This window comes from Homo sapiens, chromosome X, assembly GCF_000001405.40.
Source record: "Homo sapiens chromosome X, GRCh38.p14 Primary Assembly".
NCBI classification, from domain to species: domain Eukaryota; kingdom Metazoa; phylum Chordata; class Mammalia; order Primates; family Hominidae; genus Homo; species Homo sapiens.
The window spans coordinates 132,666,128-132,690,161 of NC_000023.11; the positions used below are offsets into that span (position 1 = coordinate 132,666,128).

General features: G+C 41.3%; 1 protein-coding gene and 1 long non-coding RNA gene across 10 annotated transcripts in view, besides 3 other annotated features; one reads left to right on the top strand and one right to left on the bottom strand.

Moving 5' to 3' along the window:
- Positions 1–24,034, bottom strand: part of HS6ST2 (heparan sulfate 6-O-sulfotransferase 2) — a 335,356-nt gene that overhangs the window by 40,113 nt on the left and 271,209 nt on the right. For 4 of the 9 annotated variants that reach the window (NM_001077188.2, NM_001394073.1, XM_017029945.2 and 1 more), the window contains one exon: positions 2,986–3,072. The exons of the other annotated variants lie outside the window; for them this stretch is intronic. In NM_001077188.2, coding sequence (NP_001070656.1) covers positions 2,986–3,072 — 87 coding nt within the window. The remainder of the gene's footprint in view (positions 1–2,985; positions 3,073–24,034) is intronic. 9 annotated transcript variants of the gene reach the window in all.
- On the top strand, positions 1,515–3,761 carry HS6ST2-AS1 (HS6ST2 antisense RNA 1). Its single transcript, NR_046691.1, has 3 exons — positions 1,515–1,601; positions 2,147–2,283; positions 3,436–3,761. It is a non-coding gene; the product is annotated as an HS6ST2 antisense RNA 1 (long non-coding RNA).
- Positions 4,354–4,917: an enhancer, noted in NCBI's record as "H3K27ac hESC enhancer chrX:131804509-131805072 (GRCh37/hg19 assembly coordinates)". NCBI's record gives its function as "activates a minimal SCP1, AML or CMV promoter by ChIP-STARR-seq in naive and primed H9 embryonic stem cells {active_cell/tissue: H9 hESC(naive and primed)}" and the evidence as "EXISTENCE:reporter gene assay evidence [ECO:0000049][PMID:30033119]".
- Positions 4,918–5,479: an enhancer, noted in NCBI's record as "OCT4-NANOG-H3K27ac hESC enhancer chrX:131805073-131805634 (GRCh37/hg19 assembly coordinates)". NCBI's record gives its function as "activates a minimal SCP1, AML or CMV promoter by ChIP-STARR-seq in naive and primed H9 embryonic stem cells {active_cell/tissue: H9 hESC(naive and primed)}" and the evidence as "EXISTENCE:reporter gene assay evidence [ECO:0000049][PMID:30033119]".
- Positions 5,480–6,043: an enhancer, noted in NCBI's record as "OCT4-NANOG hESC enhancer chrX:131805635-131806198 (GRCh37/hg19 assembly coordinates)". NCBI's record gives its function as "activates a minimal SCP1, AML or CMV promoter by ChIP-STARR-seq in naive and primed H9 embryonic stem cells {active_cell/tissue: H9 hESC(naive and primed)}" and the evidence as "EXISTENCE:reporter gene assay evidence [ECO:0000049][PMID:30033119]".

Consider the following 24,034-nt stretch of genomic DNA (forward strand, 5'->3'; position numbering starts at 1 on the left):
CGACTTGCATTTTCTTTCTCTGACCTAACCTTGCTACATGAAGGGTAAATGGATAAAATTAAAGAGCTCAGGGATTGCTTCTCAGGAGCCTTTATTGATATCCCCATATGACCTATTTCCCACCCCAACCCTGGCATCAGCTAGGGATTGTAGCACTTAAATACCACGTTGTCATCCTCTGTCCTCCCTACTAAGACTGTGAACTGCTTGGGGGCACCTATAGTATTTTATATTTATATGGCCCCAGAGTCTAGTGCAATGGCACAAAGTAAATGCTTAATATATTTTAATTACTACTACTATTATTATCATTGGTGCCAAAGAAGGTTTTTTACCAAAATTGTTCATTTGGATACCTCAGGTGGGCATATCATTATCCTCTTGGAGCCTCAATTTCCTCATGTGTGCAATAGAAATAATAGTGCCTGTTTCATGAGCTTTTGGTAGGCAAGGATTAATGAGACAAAATGTACCAAGTGCTTGGGACACAGGTTGGCCCGTAACACTCAGTCAACACATATTCCTTATTTTTAGCCATGATGCATATTTGGGGCAGCTTGACTTTTGCTTTTTTGTTTTCTTCAAAAACAGAGAAGACTGAATTTCTTTTCAGAGAAGGAAAGAACCCTCCTTCTATCTCCCAGCCTGTGTCTGGCCTCAAAATAACATAGGGAAATTCTTAAAAACTGCTCTATATCCTATTGTCATTAGGTCAAATAACATCAGAACATGGCATCCTCTGGGCTGGTTGTTGTGAAAGAAAATACACCATGGGGAAAAGCCTTGGGGTGGAGACATCTACCTATCCCCTCCTCACCACCACACACACCAAAGCTAAGGAAATGCATAGACAGTGCAGCAGGAACTGGCAATCACAACTCTCTCTGAACTAGAACACAGTGCCTAAACATCCATAGGCACTGTTCTATAAAGTGTGAAAAATGCCCTTCATAGTCTCACCATATGCACAGAAGGTCAGTACTGCTCCTGTTGAAAATGATATCCCAAGAAGGAGAAAATGTACACTAATGGAAAAAAAGAAAAATCTCCTGAAAACTGATGGGAGAGGACTAAGAGGAGGAGAACAGTGCAAGAAACCCTGGCACACATATCTAGGAAGAGGATGTCGGAGAACTTGTAATTTTTCACTAACAACCAATAAAAACAATGAAGAATTCAGAACTAGCTCAGTCTATGAGTCACTATACATGTCAAGTAAAAGTTACCTATCTCAAAATGTGCAAAGAGAGAGACCCTTCACCATGGCAGAAGCTTGGGATGTGACCAAGTATGGCAAGTGAGATATAGATCATTTTTTATCTCCTTAAGAATGTATTTATTCAGCCCTCCCACTGTTGAAAACCTGGGTATGGTATTAGGTATGCATTCTCTATGTCATCTTAACTCAGATTCTACCAATTGCTCCTTTTGTAGCTCAAATGGAGATTCTTCACTCAAAAAGTAAGACAGTGAACTCCTGCAAAGCCAAAAGAAACAAGGGAAGGCCCCTTTGGAAAGGCAACAGCAAATCACAAACATCCATAATTATACATCAGGGACTAATAAATGGAGATTGTGCCCTGTGGTTTTTGGTGTGACAGGTAGGTACAGGGTGCCCAGGTAGGGTCTGCCATTGTTGTAAGCATGGAGTTAAAAGAAGTTCTGCAATGCCATCCCTGTTAACTAAGAGTGCGTGTTAACAATGAATTGGGACTAATTTGAAAACATTCAGCTGCCTGGGAATGTGTGCATCAATTCCCTTCCTTCATAATTTATACAGCATTTTGATTATGGTGCTCAGCAATAAATAACTGAAATGAGTTCTAACTGCTTGGAGATTTAGTTTTATGTCTTTAACACCGTTTTTTATATTTTGCAAGATAACCCGCATTCAACTTTATATGCAAACCTGAAATGGTATTCAGAGGAAAAGAAGGAAAAAAAGGCAGCCAGTAGATCTTTCACTTTGGGAATTGAATATAAGATCATATTCAAAGTGCAGCATTTACGGTCCAATGCTGAATACATAAAATATATGACCATTACAAATTCACCTTTCATTGCAAAGCTGTGCTCTTGTAGTGACATATCTTATTGCTAGATTAGAGCTTTTAGCATGATGAAGGTATCTTTCATTTTCTCCTAGATGCAGGCTGGGTGCTCTTTCTGGACTGAGTTTCTGCGTGTCACAATGCCCCACACCCTGGAGAGAGAGCTTACGGAGAACTCGAGCCATTCACCACAGGGTTGAAGCAACTTCCAAGGGGAAGTGTCTAATTAGAGGTATGTCATCTGCGTGGGATCACACTGCCTGAGTTTGCCACACTTTGCTGAAGCCAAAGGGAGAGATCGGCTGGTGTTGTCTTCTGGAATAAGCCCAGAAAAGGTCAATCTAATATCGCAAATATTCAGCCCATACAAGTTTTGGTAATACCAAAAAAACAGCTTCATGTAGGACTTGGTGCATATTAGTTACTAGGAAAAGAATATACATATCATATAAATCAGTGATATGGTTAAAACATAAATGTACTTAAACCAGGAAATTTATGGAAAAGCTTACCAGATTCTTCTAACTCAAGCCTAAACTCAGTGTATGGATCAGGACAGGTTTTCATGGACTTTGTAAGTCATAAATCAGTGCTGCTGCTGCTGCTGCTTTAATTCTTAAAACTTGTAATCCAACTCTTACATTGCCCTTATGGACTTATGTCCTTGCCCTTCACAGTCAGCCCTAAGCTATCTTTCCAGAGTCATCTCCTGACTTTTCCATCCCTCTCCTCCCTCTTCCCTAGTTCTTCATGCACCCAATATTACTGACACATGCCTTGCTCGTTTCAATTCCCCAGTGACGAGCCCAGTGGGAGGCACACAGAAGACATTCCACAAATCTTTGTTGAATGAATATGAATAAATGACAAAAGGAGGACAGCACTTGACTTTTTGACAGCTATGTCAGATGTACAGGAGCACTTTTTCACTTACTTCCCACTCTTAGATGTGTTCCGGGTCTTTGTGGATGACGGAGAGTTGGCGCCTGCGTTAGTGTTTGGAGAACCCCGTTTATCCTTACTATACCCACAGAAAGAATAGAAAACATATACACAACAAGGACCACAGAGACAAAAAGCAATTAGTCACTTCATTTAAAGACTCTCAAGGCCAGCCTGCATATCCCCCCACCACCCCCTGGCCAATCTCTCTCTCTCTCTCTCTCTCCTGTCAAAGTATGATCTTATCCAGTTGTGCCCTTTAAAGGTAGAGAGTGGGAACCACTGGTCAAGTTCAAAGAAAGCTATCCTTTTGGCATTCAAAGCTTGAGCTCATGGATTCCATCAATGATAGCACCACAGCCCAGGCCCCAAGGGGGCCTCTAGTTTTAAAAAAAAAAGTATAAAAATAACTAGTCTTTAAAATAAAATCCTTTCTTTCCAGGCACTGAATTCTCTTCATTACATGTTCAGTTCTGAAGCTGCTGACTTTTGGTGAAGTATGTGGATGCCAAATGACTTCTAAAAGTCTTTGGGAGATACTATCAGATGAATTAATAATTTTCACTCATAATGTTACATGGGAAGTCCGTGAATTCAGATATTCTTTCAGGAGAATCACCACCTGCTTCATAGTAATTGAATTTAAATCTCCACCTTCAATAACTCCACAGCTTATGTCAAACCTTGGAAACAATTACGAAATAAATCACAAGGAAGGCCTGCTTAATCTCATCAGGTTAATAAACGCAGACGAATTAATCACCTAAAGGTAAACAAAAAGGAATAATTGATTGGAGTCTTCTTGATTACTTTATTCTATTTCCTTTATCAAACTATTTTACCATTATCTTCAGTTCAGCTGCTCTGCCTTGAAATTATTCCTTTACTTCATCTTCAGATTTCCATGGAAACCAATTCAAAGCCTTTCTCTCCACTTGAAGATGTGTGGAATTATTTATCCTGATTTCATCAGGAAGATTTTTTTTTTTTTGTTAGTAAGTTCTACGTCAGCATAACCTTTTATAAAAAGTGAAGGTAAGAAAGAAAAATATGTATCTTTGCTTTTAATGTGTATAATAGAACCTTCCAGTGGCAAAGAATATTGTCTCAGAAAATGTCAAACATCTTTTCAGATATTTATGAACCTTTTAAGTATCTCCAAAATAGATGTCTGCAAGTAGCTGTATTTATATGTGGGGTGGGCTGGGGGTCACAAAAGATATTCTGCCATGCACCCATCAGCTTCAAATGACTTCATGGATATGATTGGAACAAGAGATAATGATGGGTTCCTGGTGATTGCAAAGGTAATAAAGATGTGTGTGGGCATGGAAAAAGGCTGATCAGGAAAAGTCAGAGAGATAGCAACTGTCCAAGCACTTAAGAGTCAGTGTCTAGGCTGGGCGCGGTGGCTCATGCCTGTAATCCCAGCACTTTGGGAGGCCAAGTCAGGCGGATCACGAGGTCAGGAGTTCGAGACCAGCCTGGCCAACATAGCAAAACCCCATCTCTACTAAAAATACAAAAATAAAAAATAAAAAATTACCCAGGGCATGGTGGCGGGCGTCTGTAATCCCAGCTACTTGGGAGGCTGAGGCAGGAGAATAGCTTGAACCCGGGAGGTGGAGGTTGCAGTGAGCCAAAATTGTGCGATTGCACTCCAGCCCGGGCAACAGTGCGAGACTCCGTCTCAAGAATAAAACAAAACAAAAAACGTCTAGGGGGTATGAAAAGCAGCTCTTAGAAGTGGGAGATACCCATGTGAGCTCTGGCTCTGCTGCTGGAGTGGATGGCTCTGGAGAGAGTGGACACACATTCTATCCCAGAGGAGGGGGCAGAAATCCACTGGAATGAAGTGCTGGGATTCCTGCACAGTGCAGGGACCATTACCCCGTACCACTCACAGACTCACCAGAATGTGGCCACATTCTGAGTGGGGACTGAAGAATTCATTTGGTGCTGCCTCTATCCGTCCTCGATGACTTCCTGGCAAAGGATTCCTTAGGGACCTGAGACCAGGGACCATCCTGGCTATCCTCCTCACAAATTCAAAATTGTCTCTTCCAGAAGTTTGGCATAGCCTGATGCAAAGAATGCAATATGCTAATATGCTCTGTGTCACTCTTGCACCCTGGTCACTGGCCACTGAGCCTTCCTCCTCCTAGCCCCTCACTTAAGCAGTAGGCAGTGGGAAACTTGGCTGGAAGCATTCAGATACAAGGGATGTTTTTGATGTGTCTCATGCACACTACTGGGCTCAGAGTAGGTGGTCATTTAAGTCATCACTAAATCACTAAGTGCTGAGTCACTAAGTTCATTCATTCACTTTTTTTTTTTTTTTTTTTGATAAAGCAAAATCCCCCACTGCTAAATTCCCATGTCTGCGCCTTGGGCACTAGGGTCCTCTATAGTTTACATTATAATTGACCCTGTTTAAGCTCAATGCAGGACACAGTAGGACATCAGGGAAAGCTATCAGCTGGCAGCGGCAGCCTCATTATTGTCAACTGGTGCTCTAGCGGGAGGTGGTCCTGGAGCAGTAATCCTTTAAAAGATAGGAATAAGGGCCCCTCTAACCTACTGCCAAATCCCCCAAGTACAGATATTGGGGAAATGAAAACAAAAACATTCTCAGGAATAAATCACACAGGGAAGGCATTGCACCAAGAATAGGGGTAAAATTAATCAAGTAACTGGAAATGTTTGTTCTGTGCAAATAACAGATCCATTAACAGTGATGAAATGTATCTGAAAGGGGGATCAAGAAGAACTTGTGGCTGGCTTGGATCCTCGGAGCTTAATTTTGTAGATGTACTAATGACTGTGGTATAGAAAAGTTTACCTAACATTGACAGAAAAAGTCTTCATTCCTCCACCAAAATCCAGGTCAGTTAGATAAGCCTGGGCAAGATGCCATAATTCTGAAACTTTGAGAGAGAAGGAGATCTAAAGCAGTGATATCAAGGACACTGCAGTTTCTAGAAGGGTCCCATGAAAAATAAAGAGAAAATACTGCAGCTGCAGACTGTCTGGGAACTTCAAAGATCTTTGGGGCAAAGACCTAAAGATTAAGATCCTGCCAAGAACTCTGGTCACTGAAACATCCCGCAATCCCAGGGATTTACAAGAATAAATCCAACCTGTTTCAAAGACACATAGATATAATTTTGGATATATGAGATTGGTGGGGGGGGGTGGGTGCTCCTTGATTTAGAGTTCCTAACTTACATAACCGAAACAGATCTACCCCAGTAGTTATTCTTTTGATTTGCCCATCTCTAGACTACTTGTCAGCCCTCATCACTTTCATCTTGTCTTTGAATTGTAATCTCAAACCTTATGTCCTACAATTTCCAAGGCTATGGATCCAGGCTTCCTCTACCTCACCTGAGTAGCTATCCTTTTCTATGGATAAGCTGCTTTCCTCTCTCTAGTGCCTCACAACCAAGCCTCATTAAAGGCCTGTGAAAACAATTACAGGTGAGTTTCTGTTGGGAAAAGTTAATGAGTGCTAGCTCTCCTTCTGTCTGGTTGGCTGTCCATCTCCATCTGTCAAGAAAACCCTTTCCCACAGGTTCCATAAATGTCTCCAGCACTACAAAAGTGAAAAAACAATTTGCAGTATTATGCACATTCTATTCAGGTGGGAAAATTGCAACTAACCCAACTCTTCAGCATTTTCAGTGTTTCTGATTGAATGATTTGATGCTGAAATGGTATCCAGTGTACTTAAACCAAAATGGCAATCAGACCCACTCCAATCTGAGTTTTGCTGTTTGGTCAAAGCTAATTGTGGGAGAAGAACCCTGTGGCTTAAAACACACCTGACTCACTTTTTTGATGGGTGGCATATAGAAACTTCTGCATCTCCTTTGTAAGCTCTTTTCGGAATTAATTCATCTCAGATCCCTGAAAAATAGTTGTGCTGATACAACTACAATAGTACTGAAATTTTAAGAATTAATTTTCAGGGTCCCAGGAAATTGAAATTGTATTTCAAGAGAACAGGTTTGGCTATGATATTTATTGTCTACATATCTTTTACTAGGCACTTAGCATGTGGTGCTCGTAGTGTTGCTTATATTTTATTATTTATCTGTCTCTCCAACTCACTTTTAAATGGGCAGTCAAGAGGTATTCATTGAACAAATAAATGAAAAAGCTGCATTTGGGCTCAATGGAAAGAAGTGTCATGATTGAGTATTAATGTCTTGCACCAGTTTGAGAGAAGGAAGTGGTGACACATGTCACATATCTTCCATCCCTGAAGAGGAATGGTCTGGGAGAATTGGACTCCAGTCACTGAAGGTTGGTCATCATGTGCATCACAAAAAACGTGAGCTTAGAAAGGATTCTCAAGCAAGCTTGCTTGGATGGTTGCAGAGTGCCTCTGAAATAACACATCTGTTGCATTTGTATAGTCCTTAATGTTTTCCAATGTGTGTTCTTGTAAGTGATAACTGAGATGAAACCCACTTTATTGTTGAGGGTTTGTTTCAAGTCTCTCTGAGGGAAATACTGGCTATTCTTTACTCCCTAGAGATGCCTCTAGGCTCCTGAACACTCCCTGACTGAAAAAATGCACTTAAAACAGACTCTCCCAGGGATAAAAGCTCATCTAGTCGGCCTCCCCAACAGGTGCTTCAGGCCCCTCTCCAACAGATACACCAAGTCGTCATCTTTTGAAAGGTTTTTCAATCGTGGTTGTTTCCCCATGAAAACTTGCTTTTCTCTTTTCTAAGAGACTCACATTTCTGAAGTATGTTTGCCCTTGTTCTATTGTTGAGCAAGACACCTCTTCAAATATTGATTTCCTTTAATTAAAGCTGATAATACTTTCGCATTTCATTTTTTTCTATCTTGTTAGGTTATGTCCTGAGTGGTTTTCTTTGTTCCAAACTTTTTCACTTCTTTTGCCCGAGGTGTCTAAATTAGAGTCCTTGCCCCTTTAAGTATCTTACGCTCATTATCTATATTTCTGATAATCACCTGGCAAAGATAGTTCAGTTCATTGAGATGTGCTTTTATTTAGCATCCTCTTCTAGTTTCCCTTTGCCTAACTATGGATAATAACAGGATTTCTGAGGGAAGGGAAAAGCTCATTTTTATTGCTATGAAGCCCAGTGTAACTATGATCTCTCAGAAGCAGCCTCATAAGTTCAAAGCATTTATTCAGGAATCCCAGGTTCTAATCCTGGCTGCCAGCAAGGCATTTAACTTCTTGCTGTCTTAGTCTTCTTATCTACAAAGGAGAGGGAATTATACTGATCAGGTAAACCATTCACAATGAAGCTCACAGTTACTCTGGAATTGAAAAGCTCTTGGAAAAGGCAACCAGGGCGCTCACATTATCTTGCCCTCTCCCATTCCATTAACTTTTCACTCTAGCAGCTCACCACAGGGCATCAGGGACTGCAGCAATGGGCTCATTTATTTTTGTTGCTATTTTGCTCTCTTCACCTCTTGGTACATGTTGTTTTTGCCCAGAGAGTGACAGTCACGTCCCTGAATGCCTCATTGGGATCAAGAAAGAACATGAGTCAGTTTCTAAATTATATTATTTTCTCATTTAAGCTGACTAATCCCATGTGTCTTTACCAACAGTATGGACCGTAGTTACAAACTATCAGAGGCCAATAGAACGGTATCTAACAATTGTAAGTGGTATTATAAAACTGTTGCGTTCGCATCTAACTCTGGGCTTCTCCATCACATCAGGGATTGAGGAGCAGAAACCATAGTTATGGAATTGGATGGTTTGGGGTAATTGAGATCTGAAATATAATGAGAGGCTGGGCTGGAATGGCAGTTATAGGGGTGGAAAATAACTATGCCTGGCATGGCAAAAGAAAATATGACAGAACTTGGGGATTGACTATGTTTGGGGAATGAGAATAAACCCTAAATGAAAGTCACTGAGAAGGTTTGCAAGTTGGATGACTGAGAACAAATTTACTCTGCCAGTGAAAGAGAGAGTAGTTGGGAGGGAGATCTGGACTAGAGGAGAAGATGACGGATTCAGTTTGGGGCCTATCGAGTTGGGGTATTGATGGACAGTGTCCCAGTAGGCAATTAGAGAAATGGAACTGGAGCTCAAGAAGAAAGACAAGGCAGATGTGCGGTCATTGCTCCAAAGTGGGACTCAAAGCCATGAGATAAACAGTGAGGCCTGATGAGACAGTGATCCACTATGATTAAGGAGTGTTTCAAGAAGCATCCTATGCCAGAATCTGTTTACTCCCACCCCACTCTATGAGGATTTACAACTGCGTTACAAAGACTTGTATGCCAGAGGTCCAAGTAAAAGCATCTAAATCAGGTAACTTAGTTATGTAGAGATTAATGCTAAGGTTAATGAGGGAAAGTGAAGGCCTCGTTCCTGGTGCAGGCCAGTGGCTTTCTTCATCCCATGCCCATAGTCTGCTTCTCCCCATTCTCCCAGCCCACCCAGATTGCTTACAGATGACAAGGCAAGCTGGGTACCAAGAGATTGGTGGCAATCATTGGCAGCCCATTCCTATAACAAATACCTCACAGAGTACATCCTATGCTGTTTTCACCTTGGTGTAAGAAGGACACTCTGGCAAATGAGCAAAATTGAGCTTTCTACCTTGGCTTCACTTGCAGTTCACATCTTTTCTCTTTACCACGGCCTAACCGAGTACTAGAATTTATACCTCCAATAGTACTAAAATCTCCTTTTTTTTTTTTACATGATTCCCTTCCCTCTTGATTCTCAGTCTCTGCACGTGTCTCACTAACTGGCAACCTCAGCTACCCTCTCTTAGCATCCTTGGTTTTGGGGCAGAAAGCAACCTGTCTGGGAGTAAATCAAGGGCTTTGCCCTTGAAGAGCCAAAGTATCCCAAGCTTCCTGAGTGGAGTTTAGTGTATTAGGCCAGTTTTGAGGGACCTGTGGCCATCACCTTTCCCATACTGAGGTAAGCTTTTGTTGTTAGCCCTGCCTCTGCAACTTCTTACCAACTGAATCCTTTAATGTCTCTGGGTCTCAGTTTCCTATTCTGCCAGTCGTACTTCTTAAGGCCATTACCTAGTTTTGAAAATTATACAATGTTAACCAATTTATCCACTCAGAAAATATTGAATGTGTTTACTCTGTGCCCTTTAATGTGTGTTTACTATGTAGCCTTGGGGATACTATGATGAGTGTGACAAGGTTCCCGCCGGCAGGTGGCCCCAAGGCTAGTGGAGAAGGCAAGCATGTTAACAGCTACATAACAATGTAATGTACCAAGTGGAATAAACAAGTGTGAAAAAATGCTAGGGAAATAAAACAGGAAACAACTGCCTATGCTTGGGAAAGTTAGGGAAAGCAAAGGTAAATGTGAGTTTCCATTATGAAAATTAGGATTTTTGTTTTTGAAGAATTGTAAATCAGAAAAATGAGTTATGAGAATTTTCACAAAATAGAACGAAATTATGCTTATCCTTAGTTTGAAACAGTTCTCTCTCAATAGTGGGCTCATAGACTTAATCATACATCAGATAACCTAGAGTATTTTTTAAATGCAGGTGGCAGGGACCCCCAGAGTTTCTGATTCAGCAGGTCTAAGATGGGACCTGAGAATTTACAATTCTATCAGGTTCCCAGATGACGGTAATGTTTCCTGTCTATGGCCCACACTTTGAGAACTACTGCCTCACAGGAAGCATGAGACAATCACACTTGGTGAAAATTGAAAGAGAACAATCAGCTGTATCCATTGTCTCTACTTTCCAAACATCAAAATTCAAATCTGCTGGATAAAGTGCCCCGCTGTAGGGCTTCTGAGGAGGGCAGATGAGAATGCAAAGGGCTGCTGACATCCATCTCTGCAAAAGCTCCTCTTTCCTGGGGAAGTGGCAATTACTGCAAACACCACAGAGTGGAGCTCCATAGCAGGTGAGACAAAGATTAGATCTGACAGCATTAGTTGAGCCCGAAGTTCTATTTACTGAAAATGATCCGGCATAATTAAAAATTCACAACTGGAGCCTAGTTGGTGAACATTACACATTAGGGAGTCCCCAGAGTAGGCCAGAAAATTCTCAGTGAACTTTTTAGGAAAAGCCAAAGGAGCCAACTGCAATGGCAAGAATTAGCACACGGAGAACAAAGAGAAGTCAGTCAGCCTATTCATTTGGAGGTGAGATTCTGATTTTACACTACAGAATGATACGAACTAAGTGTTGGTGGAGAGGCTCATTTCCTCCTCCCTGGTGAATTACCACTTTGTTTCACTTTCTACTTAATATGTTCTTATGGGATTTTCAAGAATGTCCACTCTGCCTGCACATTACATATTAACTTCTTTAAGGACAAGGGCAAATTGTATTCACATCTGTTCACAATATCTCTGATCACACTTGCCATATACAAGGTTTTCAGCACCTGCTGACTGAAAACCATACCTGGTAAATTGGGCTTCTAACATGTTTACTGAATTGAATTGACTGACTGACGCAAACTAGGTTAGAGGTTTACTAAAGGAGTCATGTGGCTTTGGCTTTTTGTTCAAATTATATGTTAACTCACACTTTATGACTAAAAAGTGACAGCCTATTGCAGAAGTATTTCTTAGCTCTAGTGCCCACAGATAGGAAACTCAAGTAGAGTAAAACCAGTGAAAATTAGCAACTCTGGAGAATGGTGTTGCCATACTAACTGGAAGCAGCCCTGGTGTTGTGGAAAAAGCTTGGGCACTGAAATTAGGAAGAGCTGAGGTCATATTCTGTCTTTATAGCTAGAACTTGAACAAGTTGGGTCATTGAGGCAGGGTTGGTCCTACTTAACCAAGACTGCTGATTTTGACATTGGGGCATGGGGTACCCATTCTCTAGCTCCATGTTGTGCCCAAAGCCAAGAGTATTCAAATATTTCCTTGTTGCTGAACTTGGCATCTTGAGTACTTTCTAGGGGGCCAAATGCATCTATACCTAAAAGTGCATCTGGGCTAGGTGTGGTGGCTCATGTTTGTAATCCCAGCACTTTGGGTGGCTGAGGCAGGAGGATTGTTTGCGCTCAGGAGTCCAAGACCAGCTTGGGCAACATAGCAATACCCTGTCTCTACAAAAACAAAAACAAAATTAGCTGAGTGTGGTGGCACATGCCTGTCATCCTAGCTACTTGAGAGGCTGAGTTGGGAAAATGGCTGGAGCCTGGGAAGTCAAGGCTGCAGTGAGCTGTGATTGCACCACTGCACTCCAGGCTGGGCAACAGAGCGAGACCTTGTCTTAAAAGCAAACAGTGCATCTGGCTCCTTAGAAATCAAGTAGAAGGGCCATGCCAACAAGATATTGAAAATGCCTTCTGGGGTAGAAAGGAAAGTTCCCCTAAACTATGCGTTCATGTGTCTGTTAAAAACACTGACCCTTTAAACCAAAGGACTTTGTACTTTTCTCTTCACGTTTATTTACAGGGACAGATGAAACTATTTCAATTTTTAAACTACTTAGTTATCACACATTCAGGCATCATACCTTTGTTTGAATGCGTGTTATTTCTAAGTAGGGTCTCCTTTGCAAATATTATCTATTCTGTGATCTGTATTGACCACTTTTAATTTTCCTTTCCAAGTGAAACCCAATTGTCAGCCTCTTTGTATTGTGTTACAATTTGGAAAATTGAGCATTATTTTAGTGTGCATGAAAACAGAAGACTAAAATTCTGACAATTTATGGAAACAAAGCACATCTTTTTTATATCATCCACTAATCACTGTTAAACGCTAAACCTTGTATAACTTAAACCAATCTACTTCGCTTCATGCACATGAGTTTTTAATCACAGTCTGGTTAAACCCAAGATGCTTAACTGAGCCAAAGAGTGAGGCTCTTTATTGACCCCTCCCCAGACAAGGGAAAGACGCCTAGAAATATAGAGTTAGAGGAATCCTTAGAAATAGAAAAGTAAGGTCCAGAGAGAAGGGATGTATTCAAGGTAAGTATCCAAGGATGCAGTACTGACTTGACAGAACTTAGCTAGCATATAGCAGACAGGGCCATAGCCACCACGGAGTACAGAACAAGGCCAGAAGGTGTGGGATCAAAGATGCTGTAACATGAATTAATTGTGGCTCCATTTGCCAATATCAGCCATACAAGAAGGGTTGGCAGTCTTATCAGGGAACCTGCCCCTATAGTCACGTAGGTTCTTTTCTATTTTCCCTAAGCGTCAGCCAGTTTGAGAAATAAAGGGACAGAGTACAAAAGAGAGACATTTTAAGGCTGGGCATCTGGGGGAGACATCACATGTCAGTAGGTTCCGTGATGCCCCACAAGCCGCAAAACCAGCAAGTTTTTATTAGGGAGTTTCAAAAGGGGAGGCAGTGTACGAATAGGGTGTTGGTCACAAAGATCACATACTTCACAAGGTAATAGAATATCACAAGACAAATGGAGGCAGGGCGAGATCACAGGACCACAGGACTGGGGCGAAATTAAAATTGCTAATGAAGTTTCAGGCACCATTGTCATTGATAACATCTTATCAGGAGACAGGGTTTTGAGAGCAACCAGTCTGACCAAAATTTATTAGGTGGGAATTTCCTCTTCCTATTAAGCCTGGGAGCGCTATGGGAGACTGGGGTCTATTTCACCCCTACAGCCTCGACCATAGAAGACAACCACGCCTGGGGGGGGGCCAGTTCAGAGACCCACCCCCAGGCGCGTATTCTCTTTCCCAGGGATGTTCCTTACTGAGAAAAAGAATTCAGCGATATTTCTCCCATTTGCTTTTGAAAGACGAGAAATATGGCTCTGTTCCACCTGGCTCACCAGCGGTCAGAGTTTAAGGTTATCTCTCTTGTTTCCTAAACATTGCTGTTATCCTGTTCTTTTTTCAAGGTGGCCAGATTTCATATTGTTCAAACACACATGCTCTACAATTTGTGCAGTTAACGCAATTATCACAGGGTCCTGAGGTGACATACATCCTCCTCGGCTTACGAGATGACGATTAAGAGATTAAAGTAAAGACAGGCATAGGAAATCACAAGTGTATTGATTGGGGAAGTGATAAGTGTCCATGAAATCTTCACAATTTATGTTTAGAGATTGCAGTAAAGACAGGCATAAGAAATTATAAAAGTATTAATTTGGGGAACTAATAAATGTCCAAGAAATCTTCACAATCCACGTTCTTCTGCCATGGCTTCAGCCGGTCCCTCTGTTTGGGGTCCCTGACTTCCCGCAACACAGCCTTCTTTTTTTGTTGGGGAGAGTATGTGGAAGAAGATGACATGTTCAGTTTTGAGCTATGTTGAGTTTTGTGTGCCTGTTGGTACCTCTAGGTAAGATGTTTAGTTGGCAATTGGATAGACGGATGCAGAACTTAGCTGGATATAGAGATCTCAGCTGAAGAATGGTCTTTAGAGATTTGGGAGTCTATGGTAGTTCAAACCTTTAGAAGAGATTACATGAGGAGAGTGTGTAGCATGAGAAGAGAATAGCCTTGGAAGAAGATTAAGGAGGACAGGCCAGAGAAGGGACAGTGGGCTCAAAGGAGAACAACACCAGAAGGCTTGGGATCAAAGGAGAAACTAGATCTAGTCTGGGGGCATGAGTATTCCCATCATAATAGACTCATTTGCTGATGGCTGGGCATGGTGGCTCACACCTGTAATCCTAGCACTTTGGGAGGCTGAGTCGGTGGATCACCTGAGGTCAGGAGTTCAAGACCAGCCTGGCCAACATGGTGAAAACCCTGTCTCTACTAAAAATATAAAAAAATTAGCTGGGCATGGTGGTGGGTGCCTGTATTCCCAGCTACTTGGGAAGGCTGAGGCAGGATAATCACTTAAACCTGGGAGGCAGAGGTTGCAGTGAGCCAAGATCAGATCGCGCCATTGCATTCCAGCCTGGGCAACAAGAGCAAAACTCTGTCTTAAAAAAAAAAAAAAAGTCTTGTGTTTTGGGTTTCCAGCCATTACATGTTGCTTTTTCCCTGGTGCACTTATCTGATTAGCTGTGGTATTTCGTCAGTCATCCTGTCCTTCATCCCACCAAGGAGCCTTTGTAATTACATGCAACCTGTTCTCAATTCCTGGCAAAGATGACCTGAAGTATGCTGAAGGAAGCAACATGTGCCAAACAAATATAGAATTATTGGCTTTGGATATATTTTTGTTAGTCTGGCCTTATTTATTGCAACAAAAGTTAATTAAAAAAAGAAACTGTTTTAGTACCTCAACTAGATGTCATAACTGTTTTAAAGTTTATGCAAATATGGTTATAACTTCCCAAAGAAACAAAAAATCCACCTTTGATTATTGTTCCTGGTTTGTTTCCTTTATTATGTAGAAAATCAGAAATGGGTCGTTTTGCTCTCAACTTGGCTTCAAAACGTCAAGAAAGTCTTGGCTCTGATATAATCAGAATTTAAGGGCTGGGCATGGTGGCTCATGCCTATTATCCCAGCAATTCGGGAGGCCAAGGCAGGAGGATCAATTGAGGCCAGGAGTTTGAGACCAGCCTGAGCAACATGGGGAGACCCCTGTCTCTACAACAAATTAAAACATTAAAAAAAAATTTAAGTCAGCCTTATGCCACGACCCACTTGATGAACACTTCCAAAAGCCTGTGCTTCCTGAAAGTCATGATATCATCTCCGTCACCTCTTTGTAATATAGGTTGTCAGCTTTCAAACAATGGTCCTCTGGTTCTCTCCAGCCACAAAACAATCAACTTCTTACTTAATAAAGTCTTTAAACCTATACAAACCTGGTGTCCACTCATTTCTCTATACTAAGCACTTTAATCACAGTGCAAGATGTCACTGTCTGGAGGCACTTCTTGGCTTAGAGCAGATGGAGGAGTGGAGAGGTAGAAAACTCCAGTGATAAAAACATGAAAGGTAGAAATCATGCTTATTATTTAAAATGTCTAATGTCTAAATGACATAAAGAGCAAACTCCTTGCAGAGAATGTTCTCAGTACTGGTGGACCAGATGCTACTGTAGGAAGAACCTGCCCTATCCCTGACTTCCCTTAACGTTGGTGAGAAAATGGCAGTCTTCACTCTGTTACTGACACTGTCAAGGAAGAGATGCCATAAATGTTAAACTATATTAAACAATTTTCAGACCCCCTCTCAATGGAGGATGTATGAGTCCAGACACCTCAGAAATATACATTTTACAGAATGATTCTATGTGAGATGGGAAGATAATGTAAGCTGTGAAAGGCTAGAACCTTCACTGGGGCTCAAGAACGTCAGTCTATCATCATGCCTTGGGGAAGTAGACCAGACCTTCAGATCTGAAAGGAGAAGGCCCTGCAAGTAGCAAAGAAGTTTCCAACAGCAGAAAGTAGAGTTGGCATATAAGGGAACAAGATAGTATTTATCTCAGGGAATCCCAGAATTGGGAAGAGGGGCATCCAGCTAGCTGCCTCAAAAGGATATAAACAATCCTTTGTGGCTTGGGGGCAAAAGAAATGGCTTTAAAAAGCTGTTCAGTGCTTCTCCTGGGATTCTTAGAATTATGGATTTTTAGACTCCATCCACTCTAATGACGTTTACTTTTTTTTTTTTTTTTCAGAGCAGTTTATTAGTTACCTTTGACATTCTCAGCTTTGTCTGTGGCTTGTGAGAGGCCAGTTCAGCATTAAAGTTTCAGAAGCCCAAGGGGGAAATAAAACCCCAGAAGGGGAGTATGCCCCTCTTACTCTCAAAAAGTTCTGCTGTTTCTTTTTAAAAATTTCCCAGGCCAGGCACGGTGGCTCACACCTGTAATCCCAACACTTTGGGTGGCTGATGCAGGATGATCGCTTGAGCTCAGGTGTTCAAGACAAGTCTGGACAACATAGTGAGGGCTCGTCTCTAAATAATAATAATAATAATTAAAATGATCCGGGCATGGTGGCACTTGCCTGTAGGCCCAGCTACTCCAGAGGCTGAGATGAGAGGATCACTTGAGCCAGGTAGGTCAAGGCTGCAGTGAGCTATGACCACACCACTGCACTCCAGCCTGGGCGACAGGGTGAGACCCTGTCTCAATCAATCAATCAATCAATCAATCGAGGTAAACAATTAAAAATTTCCCTTAAGGACTCTTTCTCTACTCATCCTTTGTATGCCTAGGTGGGCATTTTATTTCAATTAAGGGGTCATGTCCTTTACAGCCTGCTTGCCAGGATGTATCCATGACCTATGGATAACAATGGGCTGTGGAGAACCAACTGCTTTCAGGCATGGGCCCTGACCTATCTAGTTTTAGTTTCTGAGCACAGTACAGAGCCTTTGTTTCCTGCTCAGACTGTCTCTTCTGGAATAGGCTGTCCCCTTCAAGAAATTAGCAGATAGAACAGAGGCAATTTTTAATCCTGTCAAGTGATGGTCACAAACTGAAAGTCAAGTAAGACACCAAGTAAAACAATCCTAGCACCCGTAATTGCTACAGGTCAGCACTCCTAGTGCTGGAAGGTTCTGGTTTAAGTGGAAATTTTCTTCTTGACAGCTTTATACAACCAGCTCCAGAGATAAGAATAAATATTAGAGAAATGCATGCCGCTATTTGCCTCCCCATCCCCACTTGTTCTGATATTTGGGGGCATACAGAAATTATAATTCATGACTAACATAGGAAAAAAGCATCAACTCTAGTGTAAAAATAGGGGCTGTAACTAACAGAAATCCATTTTATTTCAAGGAGCACCAGGTCAGAGCAAGTAGCATGGGCCAGGAAGAACACAGGTTGGTGTGTTCGGACCATCACAGACTAGGGTCAGAGCACTATTTTTTATAGTTTATAACCCATCCAGTACCCCAATTTTGAGAAAGCTTAACCTAAAGCGTACCTGTAATATGACCCTGGGGAAGAACAAGATCAGTAGAAATATTTTAGAAGGGATAAGAGACTAATTCTCAAAATCTTAAAGAGCAAGATTACTGAAATTGAATGCTGGGGTTAGCTCTGAGTTTCCCAGCAACGAAGGCAATAAACATTAAAAGAAACACGCTGGATAATAGCATTCTCAACTTGTGATTAAAGAGAAGGTATCATTTTGTCAGGAGAATCAAACTTATTCCTGGTGCCAAAACTATGAAGCACTGATTTTTACAGGATATGTAGGAGCAGTCTCCACAGGACAGTGTCATATATATACATATATATATATATATATACACACACACATATATATGTATATATATGTATATACATATATATATACACGCACACACATATATGTATATATATGTATATACATATATATGTATGTATATAGAGAGACATTTTAAAAAGTCAAGTTAATTGGGATATACTTTCCATTCAGTAAAATTTACTCATGTCCATTTCTTTTAATAGCAGCTGGGGATACCACATTGGAAGGTAGGCCAGTAACAGCTAAGCTAAAGTGGCAAATGGGCGGCCTTTCTGTGATCTAACCTGATCCTGGAAAGATGGTGAAAAACCAGGAGGCATGAATTTGAATGCAGGCCTTGGACCAGTGGCTCCCTAAAGCACCTGCTCATGGGACAATAGGAAGGATTGCTCCCACTGGATCACCTTGTACCATTGCATTTGGGGCTTTCCTTGGCAGCCCCTTCCCTAGCACAGCTCACCTGTCTGGATCCTGCCCTCTCATCAGCAGTGTTATCTGCTGTCTACATCCTTTTGGGAGCTAGGGAGACTTAGCCAAAGGCTGCAAAGAAGCACTCTGATTTTCCTTGGGTTTCTTTCTAGTTCTTTGTTCAGGACTCATGGGGTGTTGCTCTGTTGTCCAGCTCTAGCACTTGTTTTCTTTTATCATCATCTACTTCCACTATGTGCAATTCTTTTTCTATGCCTCCTAGCAATTCCTCATGAAACCTATTCCTGGGAACAGGGCATTGGCTCATCACCTAAACAATAAATTCAATGATTTGATGCTCTCTGAAGACTAAGAACCCACTTTTTTCTTTCTTGTCTATAGGTTACCGAGGAGCACAGTAAAGAAGTAGATATCTTTTCCCAAAGGCATATTCACCTGTAATCAAAGAGGACACACACAAAAAGGTACCAGAGCAAACAGAGGCTCCCTCTTAAGACCTTAACAAATTAAAACCCATATTAATTAATTCTCTGGCCCTTTATTTGCTTCTGGATTAAATATACTAAGGTGATTTTTCATTCTGACCCAGGTTGTCACAAGCTCAATAATTCACTCAGGGAATTCTGACATCATGTATTTGGCCCTGCATGTCTATGGAGTCAAAAGGAATAACTCATTAGCAAGCAAGATATATTAATTAAACTTTTGTAAATTTACACTCATGAAGGATGCTAGCTCCATCCAGATTGTTGGAAGGAGAACCATGCTCATAGTTACTTGGCAAATGTGGAGCCAGTGTAGGCGGTGTGACAAAGTATTGAAGCAGATCTTTAGCAAGCGCACGAGGGCCTGTGTTGTACCCAATGCATGCTGGTCCTCTCAAAGTTGTTACCCAGAGAAGCTGTATACAGATTCCAAGGATACTGCTGGCGTTCACATTTCCAGAGCTGTTCCCTGGGAACTATCTTCATAGACAGTTATGAGCCACATGAGAAATATCACTCATGACTGTGTAGTCACACCTCACTTCTGGCCCCCAACCATAGGACCCAGTCTGATCATCCAATTAGTACATCATCATTACCTTCTCAGGACATTTGACTGATTCCCAAAATTCAATCCACTCTCAAAGGACAAAGATATCTCTCAACCAAGCAGAGTCAAGAGAACATGCTACAGCTGTCAAATGTACTAACCAATACAGCAACATGCAAATGTTGAATATGTTGAAGAAATCAGCACCCTTTTCCATTATGTCAGTTCTGCTATGTTTGTTAAAAATAAATCCATTGCATTCCTTTATTCACTATAGTGCTTTGACATCATTTTCCCTTTGATTAGAAATCAATCCTAATATTAGTATTCCTAGATAACTGTTCATTAATTTTCACAGTAGATATAGGTGAAAGGACAAGATACCAAGCTGAAATGTTCCCTGCCACCAACTTTTAGCTCCTCTCAGCATGTGGTCTTTCACTGACTTCTTTAATGAAAACAGTTCTGCTGACAGGTGAGAAAATGGATTCATATGTCAGTGCTTTCAAAGGTCCATTAAATATAATGTTATTTAAAAGCATATTAACTATCCTAACCAGTGTCAGACAACAACTAGGGAAGTGCAGGAGCTTGAAGACTAATGTAGATTCTTAGGATGCTGAATGCAAATGTAAATCACAACCCTCACTAATTAAAACTTTGGCCCTTTGATTGCTCCTGGAGCAAGTTCACAGGGGTGATTTTTCATCTCTGCTTGGGTTGACACAAGCCCAATAATTCACTCTGGCATTCTGACATCACTTGCTTGGCTCTGCTTGTCTGTGGAGTCAGAAAAAGTATCTCATTAGGGAATGAGAGGTATTAATTAGGCTTTTGTAAATAGCAACAGTGTGTGATGCTAGCTCCTGATTTCATCCAGATTGTTGAGAAGAGTGCCACATGCAGAGCTGAAAACCTGGAGCTCTTATTCTAAGCCATCACACCAGTCCCCCCAAGTGATTGGTATGCCTTGGTTCACACAAATGAAAAATAGGATAAAAATAATCCAAGCTTGCCACCTGACTTCACAGAGTCATGATGCTTATAAGTGGGAAATGGCAGAGTACAATAATATTTTTTATAATTAAAATGTGGTGATGATTCTGGTGCTATACTCATTATGGCAGTATAGGCCTTATTGTATAAGTTCACAGCTCAGATCTACTGTTGTTGCAATAACAACCCACTTACCACCTGCTACGGGCAAAATGCTAGTGATACAAAGATATATCTATTATGTGTTCCATACTTTCAAAGAAAACTACTGAATTGTAATATGGAATTCTAGGACACTCCAATGAGCCATCTTCCTTGACCCTTCAAGCTCAGTCATAGAATGTTTAGAAGAAATAAAGAAATAATTAGTCCACACCAGTCTGGCTTTCTGCATCCCTTCTAGACCAATATGAGTCCTCTGTTGTGACCATTGTATTCAGCGCTTTTCGTTCTTTGCCAGTCTTGAGCTTCTTTGCCATGCCGCCTGTATGTCTTCTGTCCACTTATCATCTCTCTTTCTCTGGGCAATTTGGAATAGGAGTTGAGACCAGGTGTCTTGGGGAACTCAGCAGAAGGGGAAGGGAGGAGGAGTTTTGATGGTCCCCTCAATGCACTACTTTCTCCTGGGAGAAGGCAGGATAATAAAAAAGGAGAGCCAGGGAACCATGCTCATTTGGATATATATGTTCTGCTATGTTAAAGCAGAAGCCTCATTACCTTATCATGTTGCTGGGCTTAATGAAGGCTCTTGCTGGAGGAACAATCGTACCTAGGGGCAATATAAACATTTATTGGCCCCAAGAAGGGCACTCTTTCAGCCGCTGGGGGAGGGGAGAGTTAATGGAGAGTGGCAGCTGGCGGATCAATACTTCTCTGAATGAATTTGATCTTAAGTGACACCCCTTTGGAATAAAAAAGGGCTGACTGGAAATTATTCAAGGTTATCAGCTAAACGATAGTTTCTAGAGTATTCAGGTGCAACATTTGGAACTTAAACCAGTGGCCCTACAAGAAATCATGACAAAAGCTGTGTTGTCTATAACCAGCCCAAACAGAAGACACTAGTCAACATTTGTTTTTTTTTTGAGACAAAGTCTTGCTCTTGTCCCCCAGGCTGAGTGCAATGGCGCAATCTCGGCTCACTGCAACCTCTGCCTCCCAGGTGCAAGTGATTCTCCTGCCTCAGCCTCCCCAGTAGTTGGGATTACAGGTGCCCACCACCACGCCCAGCTAATTTTTGTATTTTTAGTAGAGACGGGGTTTCATCATGTTCGCCAGGCTGCTCTCGAACTCCTGACATCAGGTGATCCACCCGCCTCGGCCTCCCAAAGTACTGGGATTACAGGCGTGAGCCACCATGCCCAGCCAACATTTCTGACAATCCTCATACAAATCTTTAGTCTAGCAACCAGACTCATCAGAAGATAACTCTGTTGTGATTTTACAGAAGGTTCCTGAAATATAAATTTAAGCTAGTTATAATGATTTTAGCAGAGCAGAAAAGCCAGGGGATGGGGATGACAGGAACCTTTCTCCTAGGCTCCACAGAGCCAAAAGTAAGAGAGCTATGAAAACCCATGAAAAATGACATGGTCTCCAAAATAACATGTAATTGAAAATATATGGTCATAATGGTATGAAACTATTGATTCAAAATGTAAGAAACAATTATGAAAATTACAAAAGTACAGTACTGCATTAGTCCATTCTCATGCTGCTAATAAAGACATACCCAAGACTGGGTAATTTATAAAGGAAAGAGGTTCAATTGACTCACAGTTCAGCATGACTGGGGAGGCCTCAGGAAACTTACAAGCATGGTGGAAGGGGAAGCAAACACATCCTTCTTTGCATGGTGGCAGCAAGGAGAAGTGCTGAGCAAAAGGGGGAAAAGCCCCTTATGAAACCATCAGACCTCCTGAGAACTCACCCCCTATCATGAGAACAGCATGGGGTTAACCACCCCCATGATTAAATTACCTCCCACCAGGTCCCTTCCACAACAAGTGGGGATTATGGAAACTACAATTCAAGATGAGATTTGGGTGGGGACACAGCCAAACCATATCAAGTACTCATTAAAGTAATCTAGTTTGAAGAGACAGTGATGCAAATCTGAAGCTTAAAGGCCCTTGGTCCTCTTAGCTAGCAGAATAAATTTCAGCAAGTCACAGAATTCTTAGATCTAAGCTCTAGCTAATACAGGTGCTCAGTGAAGAGGCAGAAGGCAGAAAACTGCCTTAACTGTATGGGCTTCAAAGACAGCTAATCAATGCAAAATATATCTTGAAACTGCATAAGAAATGATTCATAGGTTGAATGTCCCAACTTGTAAAATGTGTCCTTCCTGACCTTCCAATACTGATCCTCAACCCCTTCATTTACCTCCTGGTCATCTGTCCCATACCTCCTGGTCATCTGTCCCAAGCTGGAATCAACCCTCCTTCATCCTAGTGCACAGATCGAGAGAGAAGGTTCGGGTGAACATTTAAATTCCTGTTTGAATCCCATTATTCAAAAATGCCCTTGGAAAGCACAGCTTGGTATGGCATTTTGGTGGGAGATGCCATATCAAATAGATAAGTAATTAGCCAGAAATCGGTACAAACAACTGCTTGTCTCCACAATCTGCCTGATAGGAAGTCTGTTGCTGTAGAGGTATTATAAATTAGAATCTACAGCATTTTTTTAAGTCAAATTGCTGACTTAACCATTCAGGCTTTAACTACAGCTAATCGATACAAAAGTGTCCTCAAACAGTCTGGGGACCCCATTGTTTGCTGCTGGTTATATGAAGCTGGTTGTTACAAAGAGCAAATGAAAAAAAATTCCCCTTAATCTCATTTTGAATTACTGGGAAGCTTAATATTACATTTTAGAAAATTGAAATATTTGACGTACCTCTATGGAATACAATTTATAGTTAGACAGGAAGCATAATATTCCACTTTTGTAACTTGATTCTAAGTACAAGTCATTGAATTAAGTTATATTGAACCAGATTATCCCAATGTCTAAACTCCCCTCTGGTTAAGAGCTGGGCTCTAGAGAAAGTTATTTAACACTTTCAGATCATGAAGATACTTCAGTTTGAAGCAAGCTTGTACAAACCGCAGCCTGCAGGCTGCATGCAGCCCAGAATGGCTTTGAATGCAGCCCAACACAAATTCGTAAGCTTTCTTAAAACATTATGAGATTTTTTTCGCTTTTTTTTTTAAGCTTATCAGCAATCATTTGTGTTCGTGTGTTTTATGTGTAGCCCAAGACAATTATCCTTCTTCCAATGTGACCCAGGGAAACCAAAAGATTGGCTTAAAGCAACGGTTGACAAACTCTTTATGTAAATGGCCAGATAGTAAATCTTTTCAGAGTTGCAGACTCTGCTGTTACAGTACAAAAGCAGTCATACACAACATGTAAATGAATGCATGGCTGTGTTCCAACAAAACTTTATTTACAGACATTGAAATGCGAATTGCA